Genomic DNA, 27,051 nt, shown 5'->3' with positions numbered 1-27,051 from the left:
CTTCTGGGCATATATCCAAAGGAAATGAAATCTGTGTTAAAGACATATTTGCATTCTCATGCTCATACCAGCATTGTTCCAATAGCCAAGATATGAAATCAGCCTAAGTGTCCACTGATGGAAGAATGGGCAAAGGAAATGTGGTGTATACACATATGTGTGTTTGTGTGTGTGAGTGTGTATGTGTGTGTGAGTATGTGTGTATATATGTATATATATATGTGTGTGTATATATATAATATTCCATTGTGTGTGTGTATATATATTCTATATATATATATTCCATTGTATATATATATTCAGGATTGCATATATACACACAAAATGCAGGATTTTATTTATAAATATATATACAATGGAATATGTATACAACAAATATATGTATACACACACACAATAAATATATATATACACAATGGAATATTATTCAGCCACAAACAAGAAGGAAACTCTGTTACTTGAGATGACATGCATGAACCTGGAAAATATTACGTGAACTATGTCAGGCACAGAAAGACAAATACTTCATGGCCTCCCTTATATGTGGAATTTTACAATGTGGAACCCATAGAAGAGGAGAGTAGAGTGGCAGTTCCCAGGGGAAAGGGAGTGGGAGGGGGAATGAGGAGACAGTTGGTTAAAGGGGACCAAGTGTCAGCTATGCAGGATGAACCAGTTCTGGAGATCTAATGCACAGCATGATAACTATAGTAGTTAAGGTTGGTGCAAAAATAATTTCTGTTTGGTCACTACTTTTAAATGGCAAAAAAAAACACAATTACTTTTGCACCAACCTAATAATAATGATGCTTTGCACACTTAAAAGTTGTTAAAAGTATAGATCTTAAATGTTCTGACCACAAAACATAAGTATCTAAGGTGATGGATGTGTTAACTAACTTGATTTAATAATTTCACATTGCATACGCATATCAAGACATCATGTTGCACACCGTAAATACATGCAATTTTTATTTGTTAATTTTTCCTTAATAAAGCTGGGAGAAAAGAGAGAAGAGGTTGATATGAGCCATTAGGGTGGGCCCTAGCCCAGCCTGAGTGGTGTCCCTTTAGGAAGAGGAGATCAGGACACACACACAGAGAGAAGAGGGCGTGTGCACAGAGGATGCCCACGCGAAGAGGCGAAGAGGCGGCAGGCAGCAGGAAGGTGGCTCTCTGCACCTTAAGGAGAGAGGCCACACAATAAACCAACCAAACCTGCCGACACCTTGATCTTGGACTTCCAGCCTCCAGAAATGTAAGAACATTAATTTCTTTTGTTTAAACCATCCAGTCTGTGATATTTTGTTATTGGCATCCCTGGCGGACTAAGCAGCCACCCAAACACTGGACTTCTTGAGTAGCACGATGTTCAAGGATTAGAAAGGAATTTTACACAAAGTTTCTTTGTTCAGTTGACATTAAAGGAAATAAATGTTGAAATCTATAACTATCCAGATTAAATATTAAAACATACACACACACAACACATAACACCTGTCTATAAAATCAAAACAACACATTTCTAATAAGTGTCCTGATCTCTTCAAGCAAGATAGAGTATTTCTTTAATTTAATTAGTCAAAACTATAAGGCTTTTAGAGGATTACGTAGAATACCTTCATGCCTTCATAGTGGAGACAGAAATAATACACAAGACCCAAGAAGCTCTACTTATAAAAGTATAGTAAATGTGATCACACTTAAATTGTTCTATTTATCATAAAACATCATGAAGAGAGAGAAAAGTCAAGCCACAGAGTAGAACACATAAGACTTCAAACACGGCCAGGCACAGTGGCTCATGCCTGTAATCTCAGCACTTTGGGAGGCTGAAGCGGGCAGATCAGGAGGTCAAGAGATTGAGATCATCCTGGCCAACATGGTGAAACCCCGCTCTACTTAAAATAGAAAAATTAGCCGGGCATGGTGGTGCACCCCTGTAGTCCTGGCTACTCGGGAGGCTGAGGCAGGAAAATTGCTTGAACCCTGGAGGCAGAAAAAAAACTTCATATAAAACTAACAAAGGATTCCAAGATATGCAAATCAATTAGAAAATAGGTTAGAGGATAGAAAAATGAGTTAACTACTGGATCATACAACCGAAAGAAGAAATCCAAATAGCCAAATGAAATGCCTAATCCCATTACTAATGAGGGAAATGCAAATCAAAGACATAATAAGCCCACACTACACATATTTGACAAAGATGAAAAATCCTAAAATCAAAAATATTCAAGAATAGGAGGCAATAGGAATGCTCAGACACAGTGGGTGGGGCTAAAACTGGGGGAAACACTTTGTAAAGCAAAGAGTAGCATTATTCATTGAAGTTCAAGATACAAATAACCAATGATGCGACATTTTCACTTCTGTAAGAGAGAAAGTCATGTGCACATGCACCAAATAAAGGTACAAGAATATTCATAGCTACATCACTCATAATTGTCATAAACTGGAAATAATGCAAATGTCTGTAAGTACTAAACGGTATCGTTAAATAGCGGAATACTTACTGTACGACAGGGGTTCCCAACCCTCAGGCCAGGGACCAATAACTGTTTGCAGACTGTTAGGGACCTCGCCACACAGCAGGAAGTGAGCACGAGCGAGCATTACTGGCCTGGGCTCCGTCTCCTGTCATATCAGCATCGGCATTACATTCTCATAGGAAGGCTGGGTGAGGTGGCTCACGCCTGTAATCCCAACACTTTGGGAGACCCAGGCAGGTGGATCACTTGAGGTCAAGAGTTCGAGACCAGCCTGGGCTATATAGTGAAACCCCGTTTCTACTAAAACTACAAAAATTAGCCAGGCATGGAGGCATGTGCCTGTAATCCCAGTTACTCAGGAGGCTGAGGCTGGAGAATAGCTTGAACCTGAGAGGTGGAGGATGCAGTGAGCTGAGATGGCATCACTGCACTCTAGCCTGGGCAACAGAGTGAGGCTCTGTCTTAAAAATAAATAAATAAATAAATAAATAAATAAATAAATAAATAAATATGTAAATAAATAAAATTCTCATAGGAGAATCAACTGTGCATACAAGGGATCTAGGTTGTGTGCTCCTTATGAGAATCTAAAGCCTGATGATTTGAGGTGGAACGGAACAGTTTTATTCTGGAACCACCTTCCCCTACCCCATTCCATCCATGGAAAAACTGTCTTCCACAAGAGAAACCCATCCCTAGTGCCAAAATGGTTGGGGACTGCTGCTACATGACATGGAAAATGAACAAACTATAGCTATGCCCAAAAATTAGTGATGCTTACAAACACAACGTTGAGTGAAATGAGCAAGACATAAAATCATGCATAAAGTTACAGTATAACTTTGCTCATGTAAATTTCAAAAACTAACAAAACTAAGCCCTACTGTTAAGGGAGGATAAGTGGTAAAATTACAAAGAAAAGCAGGAAATATATTACAATAAGTTTAGATGGTTTTTGTTTTTCCTGAGAGAAAGGGAAGGAACTGTGGTCTTGATTGAGTTATTTGAGGGAGTGTAAAGGGGAGATTGGGGATGCTCATATATCATCTCCCTGGCCTGAGTTGCTGGTGCCTGTATGTTGCATTACTCTCATTTGTTATCCTTTTTGGTGCGCTTTTCATAAATGTTTTATTTTACAACAACAACAAAAAAGTTTAGAATAAACAAAAAGTTTTCACATATGCCAACGATTTAAGTCATAAAATATTACAGTTAAGTCTAGACCTTCATTACTGGTCAGGATATTCATTTGTAAATAACAGGATTGGCTCTAATTAGTGTAAGCAGGATAGAATTTTTCATGGTAGACAGCTCAGAGGGTCATTGAAACAGCTGAAGAAACAGACTCTAAGCTGAACTTGCAGAACCACACAACAGAACTGAACCCACAAAGAAGCTACTGCCATCAGGGAACTCCTGTATCAAAAGCCACCACTGCAGCGACAGACACCAGGACCTCACTGCTTCTGCTGTGACTGACACTAGGAAGATGGATGCCCCTGCCTCTGTTCAAATCAGTCTCTCACACAAGGGCATCTGATTAGCCACACAGAAATCACATCTGCACCCTAACATAAGACAGGCTGGGGAAAATAAGATTGTTGCTGTGTATTTGTTTGTTTTTAAGACTTTACTTTTCTTTATAGGAGTTTTAGGTTCACAGCAAAATTAAGAGGAAGGAACAGGGATTTCCCATATCCTCCCCGTCCCCCTCCACATACAGCCTCCCTCATTATCAGCATCCCCCAGCAGCATGGTGCATTTATTATAATGGATAAACCTACACTGACACATCGTTATCACCCAAAGTCCATAGTTTACATTGGAGTTCATTCTTGGTGTTGTATGTCCTACGGGTCTGGGCAAATTTATAATGCCATGTATCCACCATCGTAGTATCATACAGAGTAATTTCATGGCCCTAAAAATACCCTGTGCTCCACCTATTCAACCCTCCCTATCCCCAGACCTTGGCCACCACTGATCATTTTACTATCTCTATAGTTTTGCCATATCCAGAATGTCATGCAGTCAGATCACAGAGTATGTAGCCTTAGATAGGCTTCCTTCACTTAGTAATATGCATTTAAGGTTCCTTCATATCTTTTCATGGCTCAATGGCTTGTTTCTTTTCAGCACTGAATAATAGTCCATTCTCTGGATGTACCACAGTTTATGTATCCATAAACTGTGTATCCAAAACTACTGAAGGGCATACTGGTTGCTTCCAAGCTTTGGCAACTATGAATAAAGCTGTTATAAACACTCATGTGCAGGTTTTTGTGTGGACATAAGTTTTCTTCTCCTTCGGGTAAATACCAAGGAGCATGATGGCTGCATCATATGGTAAGAGTATATTTAGTTTTATAAGAAACTGCCAAACTGTCTTCCAAAGTGGCTGTACTATTTGCATTCCCACCAGCAATGAATGAGAGTTCCTATTGCTCCACATCCTCACCAGCATTTGGTGTTGTCAGTGTTTTGGATTTTGGTCATTCTAATAGCAGGGGTCTCAACCCTTTTTGGCACCAGGGATTGGTTTCGTGAAAGACAATTTTTCCAGGAATGGGGTAGGAGGATGGTTTCGGGATGAAACTGTTCCACCTCAGGTCAATTAGATTCTCATAAGGAGCTCACAACCTAGATCCCTCGCATGCACAGTTCACACACAATAGGGTCTGTGCTCCTATGAGAATCTAATGTCGCTGCTGATCTGACAGGAGGTGAAGCTCAGGTGGTAAATCTCCCTTATCTGCCACTCACCTTCCACTGTGCGGCTGGATCCTAACAGGCCACAGACTCCTACTGGTCCATGGCCTGGGAGTCAGGGACCCCTGCTAATAGGTGTGTAGTGATATCTCATTGTTTTAATCTGCATTTCCCAGATTCCTGAATGACATATGATGGGGAACATCTGTTCCATCCACTTATTGGCCATCTGTATATTTTCTTTGGTGAGGTGTCTTTTAAGGTCTTTGACCCTGTTTTGTGCTTGTTTGTTTTTGCTTTTTCTTTTTAATTCTATCCAGATAAGGCAAGATTTATACCATGGAATACTATCAAGACAGGATGCTCAAAATACTACGGGCAGCCATGAGGGCAGATATTCTCAGCACAGACTATGTAATTTAGTCTTGTTATTTCACAGGTTGATGAAATGTTACTGGATAAATAAAATAACTTAGCTGTCTACAGGAAAGCACATATGTTGTAGGGCACATCAAGAAAACTGATTTTAAGTTCTGGCCCTGCACTTATTAGGTGAATTACTTACCTCTCAGTGCCTTGGTTTGCTCAGCTATAGCTGATGGCATGATGCTATAGTAAACTCATAGTACAGCTATGAGAATTAAATAAGATAATATGTGTGAAATAGCCTGATGTAGTGTGTGCTCATTTAATTTCCGTTTGCTGCTGTCTGCTTCAGAAATTTTCCAAGAAGCTCATTGTATTTTTATTTTCTGTCTTGCCAAACATACCTTTTCTTAAAAATGCTAGTCCATTAGAAATACAGAGAGGACTGAATTCATATGTGATTTTTAGAACAAGTGTCTGCTTTCTCCCTCCAAAATTCCAAGAAATTACCAAAAAAGCACTTTTAAATAATAAATTCATAAAAACCCAAGGACGTGTGGGGTGGGAGGGATGTTGGAGTAACCCCCACATTACAGGAAATGACTGCTGCAGAGGAAAGAGTAGGTTTGAGTTCCAAACCCAAACTAAAGAAAGACAAAAAGTTGCAGGTTTCTGGTGTATTCTCGAGTTAAAGAATTGGGAAATTACACTCAGAGAAACCAGATAAAAAAAGGAAGGACACATACAAAGTGTTCAGAGCTCCACAGAGATGGGGGAAAATTTTTAAAATTATAAAAGAACTCTATGTAAAATTTATACCACTAATTTTGAAAATCCATTCCAAGTGAATGACTTCCTGAGAAAATATAACTTACTGAAATTGACTCAAGAAGAGGTAGAAAGCATGAGTAGACAAATAACCATTGAAAATATTGGAAATGCTGTCAAAAACCTACTCAAAATGAAGTATCAGTGAAAGCAATTTGGAAATAGCTACTAAAATTAAAAAAAAGCATACATTGCAACTCAGAAATCCCACTCTTCGGAGTTTATCAAATAGAAATAAAAGGACCAGTACCATAGGATATGTGTTAACTTTGTTAATGCAGAATCATTTGTAAAAGAAAAATTAAGGAGGAGACAAAGTGAATGCCCTACCACAGAAAATTACACCTTTGAAAAGTGAGCTAGATCTTTATCAGCTAATTTGAAACAATTTACAGAATGTATTGATAATAAGAAAAGCAGGACACAGCAGAGTACATGCATGTGTATTCTGATTTTTACAAAATAATAATCAGAATAAATATTTCTATGAACGAGTGAAAGATGTGTGTGTGAAATTATATATGTGCATGCAAGTTTGTATAATTTTATAAGTGTAGAGAAGGCTGCAGAAAGTAACACTGACCTGTAAGCATTGATTATAAAGTGGAGTTTGGGGAATGAGTTGGAAGGGAACATGAAGGAAAGAGTTTAGCAAAAAAGAAAGAAGGAATGAAACAGAGAAAGAAAAAAGCGAGAGAGAGAAAAAGAACGAAAGAAAGAAAGAGAAAGAAGAAAGAGAAAGAGGAAAGAAAGAAAAAGACAGAAAGAAAAGAAGGAAGAAAAAGAAAGACAGAAAAGAGAAAGAAAGAAAGAAAGAAAGAAAGAAAGAAAGAAAGAAAGAAAGAAAGAAAGGAAGGAAGGAAGGAAGGAAGAAAGAAAAAGAAAGAAAGAAAGAGAAAGAAATTCATGTAAATTAAGGAATCTATGACAAATTAAGGATTCCAGGACAAAATGCTTTCACGCTATGAGTACTTCTATGTAGAATTATATATGTGTATGTTTGAGTATGCACGTATATGTGTGTGTTATATGTATTCATAAGTGTAAAAAGTAAAAATACCAACAAGGCGTAAATTAAAAAAATGATACCAACCCAGGCATTTGACAGATAGTCCTGTCAAACCTTTAAGACACAATAGAAAGCCCTAAAACTAAAAAGCTAGAAAGCGTCTCAGTTCTTTCTGTGAATCCCTGTACAAACACGATAAACACCCCAGTAAAAAACTACAGCCTCGTCTCACTTAGGGACACAGAAGCAAACTATAAGCCAATCATACGCAGAAGTGTATAAAAGAAAAATATATCATGACCACATAGGGCTCATTCAAACAATGTAAGGTTTCAGTTACAGCATGTAAAGACCTTAGACAACCCATCACTCCCATCCTTCCAACAACAGAAAAGTTGAACAAACTGATAATCAATGTCTTTTCTTAGATCCTTCAGAGAGCTGAAGCCACAAGGCAAACTGCCACCTTATAATTAGGAGAGACAGTTGATGAATCCAGAGAGTTAAGAGTCAAGATCTACCCACCTGGAGAAGAAGCTCCTGGAGGCATACACTGATAGGAACACTTAAATGGTAATTCTGACAAATTATCATTTAAAAGAAGAACTACTGTGGACTAACATGAGAGTGAGCAACTCCTAAGGCCCCCAGACTTAGGGAGTCTCTGATTCTCTGACATCAACTGGGTGTTTAACAACACAATTCAATTCTGACACCAACTACTCAAAGCACAGACCCAACAGGTCAAGTCCAACAAAACTGTGTCCTACTTCGGATGCTGGCTGCAAATGTGGTGTCAAGTTTACCCACATTCCTGCCCACCCAACTATGAATTCAGGAGTTCCCATGACCACCCCTCAGGCTTGATCATTTGCTAGCTAGAATGGCTCACAGAACTCAGGAAGGCACTTTACTTAATATTACTAGTTTATTTTAAAGAATACGACTCAGGAATAGCCAAATGGAAGAGTAGCATTAGGTAAGGCATGGGGGTTGAAAGATGGCATAGAGCAAGCTTGTCCAACCCATGGTTCAGGACTGCTTTGAATGCAGCCCAACACAAATTCATAAACATTCTTAAAACATTTTGAGATTTCTTTGTGTGATTTTTTTTAGCTCATTATCTGTTGTTAGTGTTAGTGTATTTTATGTATGGCCCAAGACAATTCTTCTTCTTCCATTGTGGCCCAGGAAGTCAAAAGATTGGACACCGCTGGTGTAAAGCTTCCATGTCCTCTCTGGACATAGCATTCTCCTGGCACATTAATATGTCACCAACCCAAAAGCTCCCCAAACCCCACTATCATTTAGGGATTTTGTTATGCAGGTTTCTTAATGCAGGCATAACTGATGAAATCATTGTCCACTAGTGACTGAACTCAGTCTCCCAGCCCCTTTCCCCTCCCTGAAGGTTGGAGGGTGGGGATGAAAGTTCAGCCTCCTAATCATAGCTTAATCTTTCTGGTGACCCCAGTCTTGAAGCTATCTAGGAGCCCCCTGCCTGGAGTAATCTCATTAGCATACAAAAGACAGTAAATTCCAAAGGTTTTAGGAGTTCTGTGCCAAAACACAGACCAAATATTTATATTTTTATTATACCACAGGGCATCCACCACAATTTAGTCAGCTTTACGTCCAGAAACTCTACTAGCTTTTCCCCGTGAAAAGCAGAGGAAGGTCCCTTGTGGCTCTGGTGGGGAATTGGAGAGAACAGACCTATCCAGGGTGGAAAACACCCAGGTATGCCCAGAGCATTCTCCATAACAAAGGGCTACTCTCCAGGGAATAAGACTTTACCAGAGCCTTATCCAGCTGGGGAAAGGGCATTCTCTCATTCCAGGCCCCTCTATCCTTTCTGTCCCACCTAAGGGAGGGAAGAAAGTTTAAAAAAACACTACTAAGCTCTCAGCCCAGGCAGTCAAGCCCACTAAAGGACTGAAACTTAACTATAAGATTAAAGAAAGTGAAAACCAAAAATAAAATACTAAGCCCCCACAAACGACTAAACATACACACACAAACACACACAGCCCCTTGGTGAAGAGCAGCCCAGAGTAACCTGAAAAACTAAATTCCAAGACATTATGGGAAGGGAGGTCAGACATAACTTGTTACACTCCTCTTGCCTTTCGGAGTTTAGTCACAACTGACCAGCACTAACATTAAAATAGTGATTATAAGACTGACAAAACAGACTCCTTGCCAATAAGATACCAAATTCCAATCTGACTCTGGTATAGCATCACATAACAGATAGCAAACTCTGAAGGAAATCAAAATATTTTACTCTAAAACATATTTCTTTGACATATTTTGAAATGGCCCTGCAAAGCCATCTTTATGGGAGAAAATTTGCATTTGTAGAGAATCTCTATTAATGCAGCCAGGCCTTTCCTAAATCTAGGAGAAATTACCTAAGAGTCTGACACCTTTAAAGTCCAAAAGGAGACATTTACCACCTATTCTCTCTGAAGTCTGCTATGTGGGGGCTTCATCTACATAACAAGAACTTTGACTTCCACACCCATCCCCCTTTTCTGAACTCAAGAATTTTTTTCTACCATCTTCAAGTCCTAGCTTAACTCTTTCAACCAACTGCCAATCAGAAAATCTTTCAATCCACCCATCAATCAAAAAACGTTTGAAATCCTCCTATGACCTATTGGTTCCCCACCACCCTTTTGACCCATTTGAGAGATCCCACCTTCCCAGACTGAGCAAATGTGTACCTTACATGTATTGATTTATGTCTTTACCTGTATTTCTATCTCCCCAAAATATATAAAGCCAAGCTGTAACTCAACCACCTCGGACACATTTTCTGAGGACCTCCTGAGATTGTTCCCCAGGCCAACTGACAGCCCAGGATGGCTTTGAATGTGGCCCAACACAAATTTGTAAACTTTCACTCATATTGGCTCAGAATAAACCTCTTTAAATATTTTACAGTTTGCATTTTCTTTTTTTTTTTTTGTCAACAAACACCTCGCCTCCCTTACCACCACACCAAGGGCTCCAGTAAAATAACAGTGGATTATAACGGAAAGAGCCACAAGAAGTAGTCTCTTTCTGAGAAAGAGTATTTAAGGAAATTTAAAGTCAACAGGAGAGGCAAAAATGTCAGAGGCGTTTGAACCAGAGCAACTCTGTCTTGTAGATGGGCTGGTTACATAAGGCTGAGACCTACTGGGCTGCATTCCCAGGAGGTTAGGCATTCTAAGTCACAGGATGAGATAGGAGGTCGGCACAGGATACAGGTCACAAAGACCTTGCTGATAAAACAGATGGCAATACAGAAGGCAACCAAAACTCACCAAAACCAAGATGGTGATGAAAGTGACCTCGGGTCATCCTCACTGCTCATTATATGCTAATTACAATTCATTAGCATGCTTAAAGTCACTCCCACTGGCACGATGACAGTTTACAAATGCCATGACAATGTCAGGAAGTTACTCTATATGGTCTAAAAAGGAAAGGAACCCTCAGTTCCAGGAAGTAGCCACGCTTGTTGGTAAGTGCCTGTCGTCCCAGCTACTCGGGAGGCTCAGTCAGTGAGCTATCATTATGCCACTGCAGTGAGCTATCATTGTGCCACTGCACTCCAACCTTGGCAACAAAGACCCTGTCTCAAAAAAAAAAGACATGGAGTGGCTAAACAGATGGACAAAAAAGAAATCCATACAACCTACAAAGCCTGAATCATAAAGAAATAGAAAATCTCAATAGACCAATATCAAATAGGGAGATCAAATCAGTAATCAAATACCTCTCAACAATGATAAGTTAGCTACACTGGTGAATTCTACTAACATTTCAAGAAGAATTAACATAAATCCTTCTCACACTTTTTCAAGAACTTGAAGAGGAGGGAACACTTCTAAACTCATTTTTACAAGACTAGCACCACCCTGATACAAAAGCCAGACAAGAATACTGCAAGAAAAGAAAATTACAGGCCAATATTTCTAATGAACATCAATGCAAAAATCCTAGCAAACCAATTCCTGCAGCAAATTAAAAGAATTATAAACCATGATGAAGTGGGATTTACCCCTGGGATGGTTCAATGTATGCAAATCAATAAATGTGATACATCATATTAACAAAATGCAAGGGCAGAAAAAAGCATTGCATAAAACTCTACATCCTTTCATGATAAAAACTTTCAACAATATAGGTATAGAAGAAATGTACCTTCACATACTAAAGGTCATATATGACAAGTACACAACTAACCTCAAACTCAACAGTGAAAAGCTTAAAGCCTTCCCTCCAAAATCAGGAACAAAATAAGGATGCCACTCTTGCTACTTTTATTCAGCATAATACTAGAAATCCCAGCAAGAGAAATTATGCCAGAGAAAGAAAGAAATTAAACGCATCCAAATTGGAAAAAAAAGAAGTTAAATTGTCTCTGTTTGCAGAGGAATATATATATATATATATACACACACACACACACACTCACAAAGATTTCACCAAAAATCTGTCAGAACTAATGAAAAAATACAGTAAAGTTGCGGGATATGAAATAAACATACGAAAATCAGTTGCATTTCTTTACATGAACAACTCTCTTAAAAAGAAATTAAGAAAACAATTTCATTTACAAAAGCATTTTATAAGGTAAAATACTAAGGTAGAATTTAACCAAGGAGGTGAAAGATCTATACATTGATAATAACGCTGGGGAAAACAGGTTAATCAGCTAAAGTAATTTTACAAGTGTTGAGGCAAGAGCAGGACAGGAGGGAATTGTTAAGAAACAGAAAATCAGAGAAGACTGGTGGAACTAACTTTAAAAACTGGGGCTGACACAACTGAGTATACATTTGGAAATTTTTAAATAGTACAAGATTCATCCTTCACATTGCACACACAAAATTAAACTGGAGATGAATTAAAAACTTCAACGTTAAAAATTCAAAATGATTAAAGAAGAATATAGGATAATACCTTTATAATCTTAGAATGATGAAATATGAAGCATGAAACAAAATAATCAAGGGAAATACTGCTTGATTTCATGTAATTAATTTAAAACTTCTGTTTGACAAAAGATTCTGCAAAGGAAGCTAGAGACAAGTAACAATCTAGGAGAAATTTTTTCCATCCTATATGACAGAAATAGGATTGAAATCCAGAATGTATCGAGAGCTCTTATAAAGAGCTTTTAAAAGAAAAAAAAAAAGATTGCCCATTTAAAAAAAAATGGGAAATAATGTGCATATGAAATTCAGAATAAAGAAATATAAATAGCTAATATTTGAAAAGAACGTCAAGTTTACTAGTAATTAGGGAAATGGATTTAAATCTCAAAGCATGGCCAGGTACATGCTGGACTTAATACCTAGGTGATGGGTTAACAGATACAGCAAACCACCATGGCACACGTTGACCTATGTAACAAACCTGCACATCCTGCACATGTACCCCAGAACTTAAAAATAATTAAAATTAATTTTTTAAAAAAGAAATAAAAACCAGACTTTCAGAAGCACTTAAGGAGTTTGATTGGAAAGGGGATTAAAGAAGAGATGGACAGGCTATTCCAAGAGAAACAAGTAAAACTAAGAGAGAGTAGGACTCTATTTGTCATGAGAGACCCTGCTGACTTTCTCATTTGGAGACATCTAGCCTTAGTGCATTGGAATGAGACATGATTCAAATCTCAACTCCACTACCTACTCACCCAGTTTTGGATGGGTCCTTTACTTCCTCTATATGTCACCTTTCTCATCTATAAAATCAGATGGTATAGAACCCATATGATACCTCTGTTACTGAGCAAGTGTATAAAATTGCACAGGGCAGGACCTGAAGCACATAGTCCTTAACTACCTGCCATTGTTATCATAGCATGGCAGGATCCATTAATAACTTCGAAAGTGTCGTTAGGCGTTTCTCATGAAAAGATTCCGTAACACCGTCAAAATTGAACAATAGAATGATGCCTTTTGGAAGTAGTGTCAACCTAGGATGAATTCTCGGTTGTTTGCTATGTCTAGTGTATTTCAAGGCTATTAGTTCCTGACATGCCCCCGCCTGCCCCACAGTTCACCCACCTGACTCCACTTCCCTCTATTGAGGCAACAAAGATTGTATATCCAAGTTCTCTAGCTGTGCTGCACCAGCTTTGCCAAAGCTTTCTTTCCAAAGAATGCTGAGTTTCAACTACCTCTGGTCACTAAAATGTGCAGGGACAGACAGTGTGTGGAGCTGAAGGGTGGTCTCGAGTAACCAAAAAAGGTAATGGCAGTGGAAATCATTTAGGAAGAAAATCAGGCAATGGCAGGAGTGGGCATGCAATGAAGACTTGGGAAGATGGCTCTATGGACAGAGGGCAAATGGAAGGCTCTACTCAAAGAGCCCGCTCTGTAATATCACATAAGAAGGAATGCTCATAGAGATGGGAACGACTGGAAACAGTGATGACAGCCACTTGCAACATGCCGTCCTCCCTGGAATCAGAAATGGTGAGCAAATAATAAACACAAAATGAAACAGCTTGGGCATGGTGACCAACCCGCCAGGCATCCATCTGCATGGAAAAACAAACATATAATCTAAACGTCCAGTCAATCCCAGTGCTAGTACAGGATGGGACAGAAACATGGGAACGTCCAGCACTATTTATTTATCAGTGCCACAGTGCTTGGCCATGTCTCAGTTTCATTGGAAAACTTTTCCTTGAGTGATTTCTCCAAATTAAGCTTCACTCTTTAAGACTCCAACCGCTTAGAATTGCCAGCCACTAAACTCTGGAAGTAAAATAGGAAATTACTGGGTAAAAGGTCCAAGTTGAGTCTCAAAGACTTTGTAATGGGCCAACAGACACAGTATCGCCTTATGCATGAAAATAATGTTTCCAAATGAAAATCTGTTCCTTTTTCATCCTCTCCCACCATACTCCCTGTTCCCTCCTTAACACAGAATAGTTTCCAGACACAACGACCTAGTAAAGCCCCGCAAAAGGGCAGTGCTTTTCTGTCTTTGTGCCTTTGTATGAAGCACTCTTTTCTTTCTTAACTTTGAAATCCTTCCAGATGCAGCAGGAATAACCTTGGAGACCCCGGAGTCTCTGTAAGGAGTTGCAGAACCAAGAATAGCTGCAGCAATTGTTTTGGGGAGAGCTGTGGGAGCTTGGAGAATAGGAGGCAAAGAAATTTGAATTTTGTTTTCTTTTCCATGAATCCAGGAAAAAATTAGTTAAGTAGATACTTCCAATACAATGTGCTAAGAGCCAGAATTTAGAAGTAATGAAGTAACTTAGACATAGAGGGGAAGAATATGCTTATTTGGGGGGCTAGGCATTTCTAGAAAAGTTTCACATAAGAGGTTAGCTATTTCAACTTCATCTTAAAGACTGGGTAGAGTTTTTGAAGGCAGTCGAGATGGATGTGGGGTTTTTTCCCAGCCCATACAGAATTTTCAAACATTTGATGCTACAAGTGAGTGTTTAAAAAAATAGGGGCCGGGCACAGTGGCTCACGCCTGTAATCCCAACACTTTGGGAGGCCGAGGCAGGTGGATCAGGGTTCAAGACCAGCCTAACCAACATGGAGAAACTCCATCTCTACTAAAAATACAAAATTAGCCAGGCATGGTGGTGCATGCCTGTAATCCCAGCTACTCGAGAGACTGAGGCAGGAGAATTGCCTGAACCAGGGAGGCGGAGGTTGCAGTGAGCCAAGATCACACCATTGCACTCCAGCCTGGGCAACAAAAGCAAAACTCCGTCTCAAAAAAAAAAAAAAAGGCATCTAGGCATCTATATTTTCATTATACGACATAAAACAAAACAAAGTAATCCAAAAAGATTGAAAAGAGAATAAAATTAAATTAAATTAGCAACATAAGTATCAGAAAAAAATAGAATTAAGGTGACAGATGTCATAAGAGACAGAGGAGAATATTTTATTAATAAAACATGTGATAGATTAAGGAGCTCTAAGTGAGGCACGGTGGCTCACACCTGTAGTTCCAGCACATTGGGAGGCCAAGGCAGGCAAATTGCTTGAGCCCAGGAGTTCAAGACCAGCCTGGGCAACATGGTGAGACCCCGTCTCTACAAAAACATACGTAATATTAGCTGGATGTGGCAGCACACACCTGTAATGCCAGCTACCCTAGAGGCTGAGGTGCAAAGACGGGAGGATGGCTTGAGCCTGGGAGGTGGAGGCTGCAGTGAGCCATGACTGCCTAGGTGACTAGCCTAGGTGATAGACCGAGCCCCTGTCTGAAAAATAAAAATAAGTAAGAAAAAGAAGCGCTAAAGAAAGTTATGAAAAGTTATTCATCAAATAACAGGACTTCAAAATAAATATACCAAAACGATTCAGAATTTCAAAGAAAAAGTGACACATTTCTTGCTCAGAGATTCACCAATCAAAAGAAGGATTTTAATGATGACAGTTAACAAGTCTGATTAGACACAGATATGTTCATGTATACACGTACATGTATATACATAAATACGTCTGCATGTATATGTATATTTGTACCCAGAAAATATACATCCTTTAAAAATATATTTATCAACAATTTCAGTCTTTATTAGGCCATAAACAGAATCTCAATAAATTTCAAAAAGAAGTCAAAAATGTTAAAGCTACATAGAAGAATTAACACAGTAAATGTAGACATTATTAACAAACAGATGGCCAAGAACCAAAAATAAGTAACACCACCACAAAACCATCTATTTGGAAATTTAAAACAGTTTTTTAAATAACTCATGGATTAAATAGAAATTCAAAACCGAAATTACAACCTGTTTAGAAACGAACAACTGGAACCCTACATATCTAAATTATGGAATGTAGCAGTACTTGGATGAAAATTTACAACTTTAAATGTATTAGAAAACAAGGAAGACTGAAAATAAATGAACTAAACATTCAACTCAGGAAGCTGGAAAAGGAACCATGAAAACCATAATAAAAAAACTGAAGAAAGTAAAACAAAAAAAAGAGAAGGAATAAAGATAAAAGCAGAAATAAATGAAACAGAAAACAAAAGAAAAATAGGAATTTGCAGCAATGAAACTAAAAGCTAGCTCTGTAAAAAGAGCAATAAAATAAACAAACTTCTGTAAGACCTGGCAAGAAATAAAGAGAGCACAAATAACAATCTTCAGAATGATGAAGAGGGCATAACTACAAATGTGGGAGAGGTTTATACTAGATATAAATTTACATCAATAAATCTGAACATCTAGATTAAATGGATCATTATTAAGGATTTTTAAATTACCAAAGTAAACTCAAAAAGGGCTTAGAAAAAGCAAAAAAAAAAAATTATTTTTTCGTTTAAAATTAGGCTGGGCACAGCGGTTCACTCCTATAATCCCAGCACTTTGGGAGGCTGAGGCGGACGGATCATTTGATGTCAGGAGTTTGAGACCAGCCTGGCCAACATGGTGAAACCCCATCTCTACTAAAGATACAAAAAATTAGCCGGACGTGGTGGCACACGCCTGTAATCCCAGCTACTCAGGAGGCTGAGGCAGGAGAATTGCTTGAACTCGGGAGGCAGAGGTTGCAGTGAGCCTTGATCGTGCCACTGCACTCCAGCCTAGGCAGCAGAGCAAGACTCTGTCTCAAAAAATAAAAAAAAAAAGTTAGCAAATACCTAACCCTCCCAAATCACCAGACCCATATAGTTTTATGGATGAGTTCTACTGACATTCTCACAATATGTAATCTGTACTTCACTGTGATTATTTTAGAACACTGAAAAAGAAAGTTGTTGAAATCATTCTCAAAGACAAACATAAAACTGATACAAAAACCAAATTGTATTTTACCAGCAGTAAAGACCCTCAAAAGAATAATTTAAATACATAAATATAAATACCAAAAATTGTAACAAATAGATAAGTAATTTTAATTTAGCAATGTCTTAACCAAATGAAACGACAGAACCAAATAGGATTTTCTCAGGAATGATATAATGATCCATCATTAGGATTTCTGAAATTAGCCACCTTCTTTTTTAAAAGAGGACAAACCCTATATGTTCACCTTAATAAATGTTTAAAATCTTGACAAAGAGCTACCTGAATTCCCAGGAAGAGTTCACAGCAATCTAGAAACAGATTTTATTTTAACTGATAAAGAGTATTAGCAAAAATCTACTACAACTATATATTCAGGAGTGACACACTATAAGCATTTCAATTAAAATAAAGAATTAGATTAAAAAGTTGATTATCACGGTTAACATTCAACATTGTCTTAGATATTCTAGACATTGCACCAAGTCAAAAACAAACAAAACTGAAGGGAGTTAAATTGTAAAGAAAGTCACAAACTGTCACTATTTGCATGTGTTATCATTCTTGACCCAACAAAAACTACTAAACTCAACTTAATTTTTGAAATTAATAGCAAAATAATTTAAGGTGGCTGACTGCAGACAAAAATCAATAGTTCTCCTAAGCATTAATAACAATTTATATGGGGGGGATCCCAATTATGAACCAGGTACAATATAAAATATCTAGTTATAAACCTAACAAAAATGTATAGGATGGAAGAAAAACTACACACACTTACTAAAGTACATTTAACAATAAATAAGTTAAAAGACATGCCATGTTCCTTGACTGAAACATCATACATTAATCTACTGTCTCAATGTAATCCTGCTAAGAATTCCAATATGATGTTTTAAAGAAAGCTAATAAACTGCCTGTAAAATTTACCTGTAAATGTGAAAAAAAGAGTCAAAAAAAAAAAAAAACTCGTGTTGATGGGAGAGCAAAATAGGAAGTGTATGTGCTGTTTTAGACATTAGCATTAGACTATATAAGAAGCTGTAGTAATTAAAAGAATAGGATTCCAGTACAGAGATGAATGAGTGGAACACAACAGATAGTACCAAAACAGATCATGCAGTGCACATGCGGAAAACTTGACGACGGTATTGAGAAAACTTCATCTCCACTGTTGGGGGAATGAGAAGTATTTTCCCACATCAGACTGCATATAAAAATAAATTATAGATTGATTAAAAATATAGATATATATAATCAAAACTATGGCTATATTAGAAAATTTTTTTAATTTTCTGTTATAGAAAGAATGAACACTCAAATTATAAACAAATATAACAGAATTCACTGCCTTCAAGATGTAAATATCTGTGGGCTGAAAGATACTACAAACTTAAGATATTGATGGCAAACTGGGGAAAAAAAAATACAACTTTTTTTTTTTTTAAGAGATGGGGTCTCACATTGTTGCCCAGGCTGGAGTGTAGTGGTGTGATCATGGCTCACTGCAGCCTCGAACTCCTGGGCTCAAGAGATCCTCCCACCTTAGCCTCCTGCGTAGCTGGAACTATAGGTACCTGTCCCTGCACCCAGCTACATTTTTTATTTTTTGTAGAGACAGGGTCTTACTGTGTCGCCCAGGTTACAAAACACAATTTAACAAATAACACAAGGTATTAATACCAAAATTGCAGGAACTGCTGGTTAGTCAACTCAAAACTCCTCACCAATTTATTTTGACTTTTCCTACCTCCATTCTAGGCATAAACTTCCTTGCAGCTTCTGGGAATGCTTTAGCTTTCTGATAAAAAGGACAGATGCCACTGGCACTGCTACTTTACGATCAAGAGGAAAAAGCCAAGAAAGAGACCGCACTGCTGACAAGCCTGAGCTACAGAGCAAATGCCAACAGCCTCCTACCTCTAGGCTTCTCATTGTGGAAGAAAAATAAATCCTTATTTGTTTAAGTCACTGTTAATCCAGCTCTTTGTTCCTTGCAGGGGACAACTCCAAATACGAACAGTAACATAATAAGAGCAAAACAGGGACCCTAACACAAAGACAAACAACCCAATAGAAAAATGAGTAAAGGTCCGAATAGATAATGCAGAGAAAAAGAGGAACAAATAAATGTGCATTAAATTTATAAGAATAAACTTATTCGAAAGGACAAATAAAACAGTGAGATAGCATTTTTCAGCCTCCAGATTGGCAAAAATGAAGAGAGAGAATGAGAAAGACAAAGAGAATGAAAGAAAGAAATACAATATCCAGGCTTTGAGAGAGTAGGGAATTCTATTATTATTATTATTATTATTATTATTATTATTATTACATGCTATTCCTTGGATTCCTTGGCACAATCATTTTGAAAGTCAATTTTTCGGCACCAATTAATCAAAATTTTAAATGGGTCTTCTCTTTGACCCAGCATTTCCTCTTCTTAGATTCTTACATTTGTTGTTGTTGTTTTGAAATGAAGTCTCGCTCTGTCGCCCAGGCTGAAGTGCAGTGGCACGATCTCAGCTCACTGCAACCTCCACCTCCCAGGTTCAAGCGATTCTCCTGCCTCGGCCTCCAGAATAGCTGGGATTACAGGTGCTCATCACCATGCCCAGATAATTTTTGTATTTTTAGTAGATACAGGGTTTCACCATGTGGGCCAGGCTGGTCTTAAACTCCTGACCTCAGGCGATCTGCCAGACTCAGCCTCCCAAAGTGCTGAGATTACAGGCATGAATCCCCGTGCCCGGCCTACATTTATTTTTAATTTTTATTTTTATGTTAAGTTCCAGGGTACATGTGCAGGTTTGTTACATAGGTAACAAAGGTGTGCCATGGTGGTTTGCTGCACCTATCAACCCATCACCTAGATATTAAGCCCAGCATCCATTAGCTATTTTTACTAATGCTCTTCCTCCCCAACCCCACCCCCCAACAGGCCTCAGTGTATGATGTTCCCCTCCCTGTGTCCATGTGTTCTCATTGTTCAGCTCCCAGTTATAAGTGAGAACATGCAGTGTTTGGGTTTCTGTTCTCACATTAGTTTGCTGAGGATAATGGCTTTCACCTTCATCCATGTCCTGCAAAGAACATGATCTTGTTCCTTTTTATGGCTGCATAGTACTCCCTGGTGTATATGTACATTTTCTTTATCCAGTTTATCATTGATGGCATTTGGGTTGATTCCATCTCTTTGCTATTGTGAATAGTGCTGCAATGAACATACACATGCATGCATCTTTGTAATAGAATGATTTATATTCCTTTGGATGTATACCCAGTAATGGGATTGCTGGGTCAAATGGTATTTCTGGTTCTAGATCTTTGAGGAATCGCCACACCGTCTTCCACAATGGTTGAACTAATTAACATTTCTACCAATAGTGTAAAAGCGTTCCTATTGTGTGTGTGTGCTCAAAGATTCATGTTCACAAATGATCACTACCAGACTCTGTAAGATATAAAAATGGAAATGCTTTTCATGAACATCATTAAAGAAATGGCTACATGAATAACCACTAGCAGAAATTAAAAGGAATAAGAGCAACTACAAGGACTAATATAGAAAACTGGCCAAGATATGTTGTTTTAAAATAAAATAAAATTTCAGATAAACTAGCACTCAGTAAAGAATCCCTGGATGAATAAAAATAAATTTCTAGTTGAATGAATGCATGATCCCAATTTTGTTTAATAAGCAACAAAACGATAAATGTGTCTTTGCAAAAGCATAAACAACGATCTTAGAGGACAGATACTAAGGCATTAAAAAATGGATACATCTAGGGAGAATGATAGTGAACCAGGGAGGGGACAACACGGTTTTCTGTTTTTATACTTCTATTTTATTTTATTGTTTAATAAACATATATTTATTTGGGAGATTTAAAAAACAAACATGTGAAAAATCTGCCTTACCTGTTCAGCAGTTAGAAATTAGTACTTTAACTCATTTGCAAATATGCTCAAGAATTACAACATAAAGTTTACACTGGAGCAAAATATTGTCTACTGTCTCAGGTTGAATCCAGGGTACAAACTTTAGGAGACTGGGGCAACATGAGAGAGGCCATTCAAAACCCGTTAAAATGAAGTTCAAGCAGTGTCAAAGCTGATCACCTTGCATCAAGCGATCCCAGCTCTTCAAATGATAATGCAGTCTAAGACTTGCATGATAGTAAGAGAATCCTGCATGCAATGTCACAGGCTGCTGCCGTATATGTAACAGCACCCATTAATAGCCATGATTGAAAGATTAGAGCTGATTACAGTTGTTAAATGTAGACGATCATTAGACAGATACCCCACCACATTCATTTCCAAAGTCTCTTTGCCAAAAGAGCTGAGTTCCCTTGGTAGTTGGTCTCCAAAGACAGCCTTCTTTCCATTCCTTTTTCCCTGCAATGAACCATGCCTCCTGGTATTCATGCCCAAATATAGCTTCCTCCTTTCAAATCTGGACTGGCCATGGGATTTATATTTGGTTGATAGAATACTGTGGAAGTGATGCAGGTCTGAGGCTAGGTCATGAACAGCCTCCAAGACTAGGTCAGGAAGGCTTACAGTTTCCACGGGGTCTTTTGGAATGCTTCCTCTAGGAAATCAGCTGGCTTGTAAAGGGGCAGCGTCCCTGAGACCATCATGCTGTAAGAATCCCAAGCCATATGGAGTGGCCACATGTGACAGCTCCAGTGGTCAGCTCCCAGTTGATAGCATCGTCTGTCTGCAGAGTAAACCCAGGCAGAACCGCTTCAGAGACTACACATGAGAACTACCCAACTGAGCCAAAGTAACCCACACAACTGTGAAAAATAATAACTATTATACAAAGAAGAATAAATTGTTATTTTAACTCACTAAATTTGGGGGTGGTTCATATGCAGCAATAGATAATCAGGACAGTTATCCATTTTCCAAGAAGAAAATATTCCTATGGGAATAAAATGTATGCTGTAGAAGTACAGGGAAGACTCCGTGCTTTTTGCCCAAACTTAGTAAATAACTTATGTTTATTGGTTGTATTGCTCATATTTTTAAATGCTTCATTTAATAAAATCCACCATCTCAGAGTTAGCCAGTATTATTGCCCTCATTTTATAGGTGCAAAAAGTAAGGTTTTTGAGAGTCAAAATAACTTGTTTAATATCACACAGCTAGCAAACAGTGGAGCCAGTACATCTGCACACTCACTCACCCAGGAATAGACTGATTATATGATCAGACAGAGTGTCTATAGGATCAGATACCTATAAAGGGGTACTAAGCCTCTTGAGTTCAAAATAGCTATTGGTCCCTGAAGTTCCTAATTTCTAGGATTCTAGTGGTGGACCCATACTTCCTAATTACTTCCTAATAATGGGATTAATAAAACACAAAAACAAAGAAAGATTTCAGGGTTAATTCAGTTAATTTACTGGGTATCTAAAACATGCCAGTCCAGGTCCAAGATACTGGGAAGAAAAAGATGAAAAAGGCAGCTTCTTCCTTCCAAAACATCACAGTCCGTGGGCTAAAGAGAAGCAAGAAAAATAAAAAATCACAGTACAGTGGGGCATATACGATCACTGAAATCTGTGGGAAGTTTTTAAGAGCAGATTGGAAGAAGTCCATGTTGTTTGACTGTGTCAGTTATCTCAGTGTGTGTTAACATAAATGCAGATCTTTCCATGTGAAATTCTTAGATGTTAATATCAGGACTACAAGTATTTCTCTCGACCTGGAAGAAGTGGTTCATAGTGCCATGTGTAATTCCAAAAATTTAAGCTAAAGCTTTAAGACTCCTTAAGGTGACCTTTTCTTCAACAAAAGGCAACCTCAACTGAGCCACTTCTCTGCCCACTGGAAAAGGGCATGCTCTGCAGCTGGACTTGCCATACGATAAAAAGTCCAAAATGTCAAGGAGCCATTGACTTGCATGTTTGTGCCAATATATTGCAAATATGGTTTTTTGTAGTGGTAGGGCTGGGCTCAGCCCCAAAGTGCCAGATGGTGCTGAGTACTCAAGAATAAAGCCATCTGCAGAACAACTCCTTCTACGGCCATTACAATTTGTACTGATTATAAGCCTCTATCAGAATGTCTTTAGGACTCTTATCTATGGATAATCCCATACTGTTCATTACAGCTCTGGGTTTAAGACCATAATGACAGTTACAAGAATGGGAAAACATATTGAAGCAATAGTCTCCACACCACCCACAGACGCAGGTTCTAGTTCCCATTATGCCATATTCATTGGAAACTCATAGACTGGAAGACAATTGAGACCTACTCGGGAAGGTGAATCTAATGACACAAGGAGCTCCATGAGATTGTCTCTGGTTTTGAATAAAATCTGAAGGAATAAAATATTAGAAGATTATTTAATATTAAATAAATATGAAAATTAAATACAGGCCAGGCACAGTGGCTTACACCTATAATCCCAGCACTTTCAGAGGCCAAGGTAGGCAGATATTTTGGGCCCAGGAGTTCTAGACCAGCTAGGGCAACATGGTGAAACCACATCTATACAAAAAATACAAAAATTAGCTGCCTATAGTCCCGGTTATTCCAGAGGCTGAAGTGGGAGGATCCCCTGAGCCTGGGGAGGTTGAGGCTGCAATGAGCCATGATCACGCCACTGCACTCCAGCCTGGGTGACAGAGCAAAACTCTGTTTCAAAAAAATAAAGTGGCCGGGCGTGGTGGCTCACGCCTGTAATCCCAGCGCTTTGGGAGGCCGAGGAGGGTGGATCACGAGGTCAGGAGATCGAGACCATCCTGGCTAACACAGTGAAACCCCGTCTCTACTAAAAATACAAAAAATTAGCCAGGTGAGGTGGCGGGCACCTGTAGTCCCAGCTACTTGGGAGGCTGAGGCAGGAGAATGGCATGAACCCCGGGGGGCGGAGCCTGCAGTGAGCAGAGATCGCACCACTGCACTCCAGCGTAGGTGACAGAGCAAGACTCTGTCTCAACATAAATAAATAAATAAATAAATAAATAAATAAATAAATAAATAAACAAACAAATATAAATTAAAGTAAAGTAAATACAAATCTCATTTGGCCAACTATGAGAGTCTTCTGTCTTAGACCAATAAGCTTACTTGACCACAGATGGCCCATGGATTGGGTTTGGCATCCCAGGCTCTTTCATGTGTAATATTTGGGTGCTGCTTCTACCAATAAAAACTCCACAGTGTTTATTTGATCCAAGCTGTAAGGATGTGTAATACCTTATAAGAGGATGTTCTGTAGGTGATTAAATTCTTTGCTGAATCAGTTTTGGCCCCAGTAGGTTGATACTTTATTTCTTTACAGTGCTCAAAACATTAAGGTCCTCATAAAATGAATTAATGATCCATTGTAAAATGCCCTTTATGGAAAAAAATCACTTTTATATTCCAGGAAACTGATATTACATTATCTTTACCATCATAATATGATAGTATCTAAGAACTATTTGCATAGAAACACTAGCTAGGCTGGAAGCTACGTGATGACCAACAACTTATTTGATATTAGGAGTAAAATAAAATATGAGAGTTATTTAACTTAACCTATTGAAACACCCTTTGGTGGAACAGTCAAGATACCAAAAGACTTCACAGAATCCATATGCCATGTGGGTTTCTGGATTGTAGTAGTTGCGTCTCAAAATGCTCAAAGGAATCCTAAACCTATTTTAAATTCCTACTGCCATAACTGAAACTCTCTGTCAGCTGTTTGCAACAAAAGGCTTCCCAGAAATAATTTTTGGGACATTTATGTCAAAGAGATTTAAGGAAAATTGTCGACAGGAACCTTATCTGAACTGTCTCTATCACTCTCCAATCATGCACCAGTGAGTATCAGTATGAAAGTGATATACTGTTGATCAAGGGTGCCTTATGGTGTTGTAAGAAGAGATCGACCAGAAAGAACATTTTAGTTTCCACTGATTGACAGGCCATGGAAGGTATAACTCAACCATATCATTCTGGACTTAACCACTGTCTTCTAATACAAATATTTCATGATAAAAGTATTCCACATATGGTTTCTTCTCGGCCTATACTTTCTTCCTTTTGACCAGGAGTGTTAACCTTTTTTCAGCAAAGGGATTGGACCTGCCTTAAAATGGAGCTCAAGTTCAATGCCACATAAAGTTCGCAGTGCTGATTGGCTTTTGTGATCATCACTTCAACAATAAAATTAGATGTTCTTCCAAGAGTGGGGCATGTCAAGGCAGAAAAATCCATCCTAGAGCCTCTTATGACTGACCTAGACTCTCATGCTAAAAATTTATCATAGACAAAACAGTGAAGAGCGATATTCACTGATCACTGTTGTGAGACCCTGGCATTTTTATAAACACTAGAATATAACACAAAGCCCTATTGTCAGGAAAAGAAAAAGACCATGTAAATAACTGAAAGAGAAGTCTCCTGTGTATCAGAAATTGGAGATCACTCAATGAGAATGCTAGTCCGGAGGGTGGAGAGGATGTTTTTATTTTCCTGATAAACATGCATAATGGCTGAGAAACCACTACTAACTGTCTTAAAGGTAGAAAATTATGGGAATATTCTAAAACAAAAATGGAGGAAGGGAAGATCCAATGGGTGATTTCACATGTTATCTCTGTGAGTTTCTGCTTCCTTTTGTCTTTCAAAGGGAAGGTCACCAGCAAGACAGCCAAGTCTTCCTTTGTGAGATTTCCTTTGCTTTCTTCATGATGTCTTCATAAAATCAGATACATCTTCCCAAACAGCTACATAAATAATAAAGTGATACACTCCCTACATTCCATAAATATATTATCTTTGTTCCAAGAAGTTAATCTTTAGAGATCTGTTTTTAAAGGATCAATACCAAGGAGGATATATACAGAGTCCTGGATTTACACATGTCAGATACTTTAATTTCAAGACTTTTTACTCAGGGTCGGTTCCTGTACTGTAGCCAGTCTTTAGGTGGCAGTGATGGTTATCTGACAACTTCAAAATGAAGAGGTCCCTAAACCTGCCAGATCCCCTTAACCAAAGGCCAAATTCCACAGTGCCAAGACCGATTTGATTTCATTTTATTTATGTAGAACAGTGACACCTAGTGGCAGGGAAGGCAAATCACAAAAGAGAATTCTCTGGTGGCACCTCCCCCATCTCATCGGGATTAGTGAAAAAAGTGACCCAAAAAGGGCTTCGCTCTTTTCTCGGCTGAGTGTTGGCCTTATTTTGAAAGTCTGCAGTGATTCGTGGTTAAGAGCCATCTCAGTGGGCTGGACCTATTCTAGCTTCTCTGGAAGGACGCAAACCCAGTTATAGATCTCAAGAGTGGGCGGGTCTAGGAAAAGACTTAGAAGGGACTGGTGTTCTAAAGACAGAGCGTGAGAAATAAACCCACCCCAGATCCTAAATAGCCAACTAAGGACACTGTGGAATTATCCAAAGACTCCAGGGTAAATAGCATGCTGAGGAAATTTTACCAGTAACAGAGAGATGGAAGAATGAACTGCAAATATGAATCACGATCCTATATTTGTTGGTTTTCTGCCATTAGACTGAGCTCCTTGAGAGCTGAAACTATTATCTTTGCCTTTTGTTAGAACCAGCCACATATGTCTGACAAATGGCAGGTGCATAAGTAAATGCTGAATGAAAGAGAGAGAGAGCATGCAATAAAGAGAATGAATCGGGTCAGATAAGTACTTCTGGGAAAACTAACTAAGATAAGAAGAAGCCTGCACTGTAGTCCCACTAAAGCTAAGATAGCTTTTAGCAAACTTGATGTAGTTAAATAGCAGCGGTAGTCGTTAATATCGACTGAATAAGTAGGATACACGATTCCAGCATATTTCTCTATTAGTATTCCTGTTTAGCATCTGGGAAACCAAAGCACA

The 27,051-nt window shown here is 38.4% G+C and overlaps 1 protein-coding gene across 1 annotated transcript in view, besides 2 other annotated features; it reads right to left on the bottom strand.

Annotated features, from left to right (window-relative positions):
- HS3ST4 (heparan sulfate-glucosamine 3-sulfotransferase 4) overlaps positions 1-27,051 on the bottom strand; it is a 445,727-nt gene that overhangs the window by 272,519 nt on the left and 146,157 nt on the right. The gene's annotated exons all lie outside the window — the stretch shown is intronic.
- Positions 9,805-10,099: a silencer, noted in NCBI's record as "tiled region #8309; K562 Repressive non-DNase unmatched - State 24:Quies". NCBI's record gives its function as "represses a minimal TATA promoter and a strong SV40 promoter by Sharpr-MPRA in K562 cells {active_cell/tissue: K562}" and the evidence as "EXISTENCE:reporter gene assay evidence [ECO:0000049][PMID:27701403]".
- Positions 20,306-20,563: a silencer, noted in NCBI's record as "fragment chr16:25855925-25856182 (GRCh37/hg19 assembly coordinates)". NCBI's record gives its function as "represses an EF-1alpha promoter that drives an FKBP-Casp9 reporter gene in an ReSE screen in phorbol 12-myristate 13-acetate-treated (for megakaryocytic differentiation) K562 erythroleukemia cells {active_cell/tissue: K562(+PMA)}" and the evidence as "EXISTENCE:reporter gene assay evidence [ECO:0000049][PMID:32094911]".

This window comes from Homo sapiens, chromosome 16 (genome assembly GCF_000001405.40).
Source record: "Homo sapiens chromosome 16, GRCh38.p14 Primary Assembly".
Classification (NCBI taxonomy): Eukaryota; Metazoa; Chordata; class Mammalia; order Primates; family Hominidae; genus Homo; species Homo sapiens.
This window is presented reverse-complemented; position numbering and strand designations above follow the sequence as displayed.